This window comes from Homo sapiens, chromosome 8 (assembly GCF_000001405.40).
Source record: "Homo sapiens chromosome 8, GRCh38.p14 Primary Assembly".
NCBI classification, from domain to species: Eukaryota; Metazoa; Chordata; class Mammalia; order Primates; family Hominidae; genus Homo; species Homo sapiens.
Genome location: NC_000008.11, coordinates 46,552,088 through 46,558,239, shown reverse-complemented (window position 1 = coordinate 46,558,239; position 6,152 = coordinate 46,552,088).

The following is a 6,152-nucleotide window of genomic DNA, read 5'->3' as shown; positions in this document are numbered from 1 at the left end:
GAGTATGATGAATTTTATATTAATGGGTTTTCAATATTAATTTTCTCTTTAATTTCCTCAATAAGCCCCACTTGGTCATGATATATTTTTAGAAGGCTGCTCTTGTATTTTGCTTGCTAATATTCTATTTAAGGTTTTTGCATTGCTATAAGTGCCAGTGGTCCATGATTTTCTTCGGTGTGTGTGTAAATAAACAATGTTTATTAGATTTTGTTGTCAATGTTATGCTCACTTCAAACTCTTGGAGTTTCTTTTTCTTCTTTATGCTTTAGAACATTTTAAATAGATTGATATTATCCACTCTTTGAAGTTGGTATATTTCCCTTGGGATGTTTTGTAGGCCTGGTGCTCTCATAGGGGTAGGGATAGGTCTTCTATTTTTGCTATTGCTTCTGTAAAATGTGATATACTTAAACAACTTGATTAATAGTCTTTGCTGGGTTGGTTTCTGTATATTAAGTTTTCCTGGAAAATTACTTACTACATTGAGGTTTTCAATGTGTTTGTTAGTTTTTTTGGCATGCATGCAAGTAATCTGTTATAATTTTTAATATTCTGTATTTGATGGTTACTTTCTCATTGAACTTTTTATTTTCAGTATGTGTGCTTGGAGTCTTTTTTTTTTTCAGTGAGGTGAGCTAGTGCTTTTTCTATTTTTTTGATCCTTACACATAACCTTCTTTCATTTAAAATTATTTACACTAATGTTTTTATGCTTTTACCAAGCATGGATATCTAGTTAATTTTTCTTTCATTTAATTGACTTAATTGATATTTAATGTTACTAATTTTCCTCTGGTTACTTTTAATTATGTTCCATAGATTCTAAAATGTCATATTTGTATACATATTTTTTAGAAATTCTGAAATTTCAGTTTATTTCTACTTTGATCGAAGAATTATGTAATATTAAGTTATAAAATTTCCAGATAGAAGGGTGTTTTAAAATTTTATTATGAACTTCTGGTTTATTACATTGTAATTAGATAATAGTTTTGATTATCCTTACTATGATGAGACTTATAAAGCTTTTCTTTGTTTGTTTTGAGATGGTGTCTTGCTCTGTCCCCCAGGCTGGAGTTCAGTGGCTCAATCTCGGCTCACTACAACCTCCGCCTCCTGGGTTCAAGTGATTCTCGTGCCGCAGCCTCTCGATTAGCTGGGATTACAGGCACATGCCACCATGCCCGCCTAATTCTTTTTGTATTTTTATAGATACAGGGTTTCGCCATGTTGGCCGGGCTGGTCTACAACTGCTGACCTCAGGCAATCCACCTGCCTCGGCCTTCCAAAGTGCTGGGATTACAGGTGTGAGCCACCGCACCTGGCCTAAGGTTTTCTTTATGAGTTAATACATGATTAATTTTTATTAGTGTGCCACGTTTACTTGGAAAACAGAATGATATTACCTAAGTTTTTGTCTATTCTTGCTTGTCTTGTAGCTTCTGAGTTTTGAAGTTTGTTTTTATGTCATTTGGGTGCATAGGATATTATAGCTTTTTGTAAATTGTAGCGTTTAGCATTAACACTAGCCTTTTTTTGTCTTGTTTAATGTTTTCTGGTCTAAATTCTACATTACCAGGTATTAAATTCTACATTACCAGGTATAATGTTTTCTGGTCTAAATTCTACATTACTAGGTATTTGTTTTTGTTTTTATTTTCCTGGTATACCTTTTTTGGTATCCAGTTTTTGTTTATATTTTCCTGGTATACCTTTACTGTCTCTTTATGTTCAGCCTTTCTGAATCACTTTAAGTATGTCTTGTATGCTGCAATTATGTTTTGATTTTTTGTGAGTCTGTCTGAACATTTTTTTAAAAATCTCTTTTTGATTATAAAAGTAATATGTGGCTACCGTAAAATAACTTGGAACTGCAGAGGTATAAAAAAGAAAAAAAACAAGCACTTCTAATCTTCTACTCCGAGGCCAACTACTAGCATTAGGTTGTATTTCATTTAGTTGTTTTGCCCTTCTTTATAAAACATTTGTTATAAAATATTTCTATTTTATTTGTTTCCTCTTTTGAAAGGAGTGTTATTCTTCAGGACATGAATTTCTTTTTTATGTGCTCCAACATTCAAGTTTTCAGAATAACCACTCTTGTATATATACTGAAGTTCACATTTTTTATAAAGAACTGTCATCAGATTTCTCATAAAAATTTTGAGTGCCTTACATTTTGTGATTATGTAGAAGACACTCTCTATGCTCTGATCTGAAAACCACTTCAAGAGTGGATCAACATGAGTTGAACAACCATGTAATTTGTTCTCTGAACTGCAACTCTTTTGAAGTGAAGGGGGTGCTATTAATATTTAGTTCAAAATAACTGGCATAGGAAGTTGATGCTTTGATTATTAATGCTGCTTTATGGTTGAAGGATGTGAAGCACAGAGAGATTAAATAACTTACCTATGGTCATACAGCTTATATATTAGAAAAATTTATTTTAGAGATAGAGTCTTGCTCTGTCATGTGGGCTGAGAATACAGTGGTATGATGATAAGCCACTGAAACCTCTAACTCCTGGGCTCAAGATATCCTCCTCCTTAGCTGGGACTACAGATGCACACCACCATGCCCAGCTAATTTTTTAGATTTCTTGTAGAGGCAGAGTCTTGCTTTGTTGCCCAGGCTGATCTTCAACTCCTGGTCTCAAGCAGTCCTTCCACCTTAGCTTCCCAAAGTGCTGAGATTACAGGCATGAGCCACTGTGCCCAGCCTCACACAGCTCATAAATGCCACAACTGGGATTTGAACCCAGGCAGTGTGGGTCAGGCATCTGCAGCACTAACTGCTATGTGACCTAGTCTCCTGTAATCATTTTTTAAGTTTAATATTCGGTGGCATTTATTATATTCATAATGTGTAACCATCACTACTATCTGGTTTCACACGTATTTTCCCCCAAAATGTAATTTTTTATTTTATTTCTTACTGATAAATAATATATGCACATATTTATGGGATAAATGTGATATTTTGATACATACATACAATGTCTAATGATCAATTCAGGGTATTTAGGATATTCATCACCTTAAACATTTATCATTTCTTTGTGTTGGGAACATTTCAAATATTCTCTTCTAGCTATTTTGAAATATACAATATATTATCATTAACTGTAGTCACCCTACCGTGCTATTGAACACTAGAACTTATTCCTTCTATCTAACTCTTTATTTGTGTCCATTAACTAACTTCTCTCCCTATTCTCCTCCCCCATAAAACCTTCCCAGCTCCTGGTAGCTATTATTCTACTCTTTACCTTAATGAGATCAACTTTTTTTTAGTTCCATCATGTCATTGAGAACATGCGATATTTTTGTCTTTCTGTTCCTGACTTACTTCACTTAACGTGATGACTTCCAGTTCCATCCATGTTGCTGCAAATGACAAGATTTTATTATTTTTTGTGGCTAAATAGCATTCTATTGTGTACATATGCTACATTTTCTTTATCCATTCATTCATTGATGGACATGTAAATTGTGTTCATATCTTGCTTATTGTAAGGAGTGTTGCAGTAAACATGGAGTTGCAGGTATCCCTTTGATAGGTTAATTTTTTTCCTTTGGGTAAATAATCAGTAGTGAAATTATCAGTAGGTGGATCGTAGGTAATTCTATTTTTAACTTTTTGAGGAGCCCCTGTAGTATTTTTCATAATGGCTATAATAAATTACATCTCCGCCAGCAGTGTATAAGAGTTTCCTTTTCTCTGCATCCTCCACAGCATGTTTTTCATAATAGCTGTTCTAGCTGGGGTAAGAAAGTATCCCACTGTGATTTTGATTTATGTTAGTGCTGTTAAGCATTTTTTCATTTAGCAGTTGGCTTTTTGTATGTCCTTTTTGGAAAATATCATTTTACTCTGTTGATTGTTTCCTCTGCTGTACAGAGCTTTTTAGTTTAGTATCATCTCATTTGTCTATTTTTGTTTTAGTTGGCTGTGATTTTGAGGTCTTACCATAAAATTTTTCCTAGACGAATGTCCTGAAGTGTTTCCCCTGTGGTTTCTTCTGGAAGTTTTATAGTCTTGGGTCTTTGTTTAAGTCCTTAATCCATTTGAGTTGATTTTTGTATTTTGTGTATGGGAAGAGACAGGGATCCAGTTTAATTCTTCTGCCTATGAATATCCAGTTTACCCAGCACCGTTTATTTAAGAGACCATCCTTCCTCTGATACATGTTTTTGACACCTTTGTCAAAAATCAGTTGGCTGTGATGATTTTCTGTTAGATCTAATACTGTTTGCTTTATATATCTGGTTCCCCTGGTGTTGGGTATACATATATATTTAGAATTATTATATCGTCTTGCTGAATCAACCCCTTTGTCATTATATAATGACCTTATTTGTCTCTTCATACTGTTTTTGACTAGAAGGTCTGTTTTATCTGATATACATTAGATACTTCTGCATGATTTTGGTTTCCATTTTCATGGAATATCTTGTTCCATCCCTTCACTTTCAGTCTACATGTGTCTTTACAGGTGAAGCAATTTTCTTGTAGGCAGCAGCATATAGTTGGTTCATTTTATATTTATTTTTATTTTTTTGAGATGGAGTCTTGCTCAGCCACCCAGGCCGGATTTCAGTGACATGATCTCAGCTCACTGCAACCTCTGCCTTCTAGGTTCAAGCGAATCTTCTGCCTCATCCTCCCAAGTAGCTGACAGTACAGGCATGTGCCCCCAGGTGTGGCTAATTTTTGTATTTTTAGTAGAGACAGGATTTCACTATGTTGGTCAGGCTGGTCTTGAACTCCTGACCTCAAGTGATCTGCCCATCTTGGCCTCCCAAAGTGCTGGGATTCCAGACATGAGCCACCATGCCTGGCTCCAGTTGGGTTACTTTAAAAAATTTATTTAGCCAGTCTATATCTTTTAATTCAGTAAATTAATCCATTTACATTCAAAGTTATTATTGACATATGAGGTTTTGTTTTCATCATAGTGTTCATTGCTTTCTGGTTGCTTTGTATATTCTTTGTCCCATTCTTTCTGTCTTATTTTTTTGTCCTAACAGTTTGCTGGTTTTCTGCAGTGATAAAAAATTTTAGTCCCATCTCTTTCTCATTTGTGTGTCTGCTCTATCAGTGAGTTTTATACTTCTGTGTGTTGTCATGATGGTAAATATTACTCATTCACTTTCAAAGGTAGGACTCCCTTAAACACGTCTTGTAGGGCTGCTTTAGTGGTAATAAATTTCCTCCATTTTGCTTGTCTCGGAAAGTCTTTATTTCTCCTTCATTTTTGAAGGATGGATTTACCGGGTATAGTATTCTTGGCTCTCAGTCATTTTTTTTCTTTCAACACTTTGAATATATCATCTCATTTTCTTCTGGCCTCTAAGACTTCTGCTGAGAAATCCAATCTTAGTCTGATGGGGTTCCCTTCTAAGTGATTATATGCTTTTCTCTCACTGTTTTAGAATTCCATCTTTATTACTGACTTTTGACAGTTTGGGTGTAACGTACCTCAGAGAAGACCTTTCTGCTTGAATCTATTTGGGGTATAATTGAGCTTTCTGCATCTATATTTCTTGTAGATATCTATTTATCTTGTAAGACTTGGGAAGTTTTCAGCTATTATTTCATTAAATAGATTTTCTCTGTCTCTGCTCAACTCTTCTTCTGGAAAATCCAAAATTGGAAAATTTGGTCACTTTATTGTGTCCCACATGTCACATAGACTATCTTCATTCTTTTTTATTTTTATTTTTTGGTTTGGGTTATTTCAAAAGACCCGTGTTTAAGTTTAGAAATTATTTCTTCTGCTCCACCTAGTCTATTGTTAAAGTTCTTGATTGCATTTTTAATTTCATTTATTGATTTCTTCAGTTCTAGGATTTCTGTGTGGTTCTTTCTTAATGATATTTGTCTCTATTGAATTTCTCATTCAGATCATGAATTTCTAATTTCCAATTTCATGTTTTTCTAACTTCTTTGTATTTTTTATCTATGCTTCCTTGTATCTAACTGAACTTTTTTAATGCCATTATTTTGAACTATTTCTCAGGAATTTAATGGGTTTTTTTCCCTCCCATTGGAATCTATTGCTGAAGAATTATTGTGATCCTTTGGAGATGTCATATTCCTTGCTTTTTCATATTTCTTTTGTCCTTATGTTGATATCTGCACTT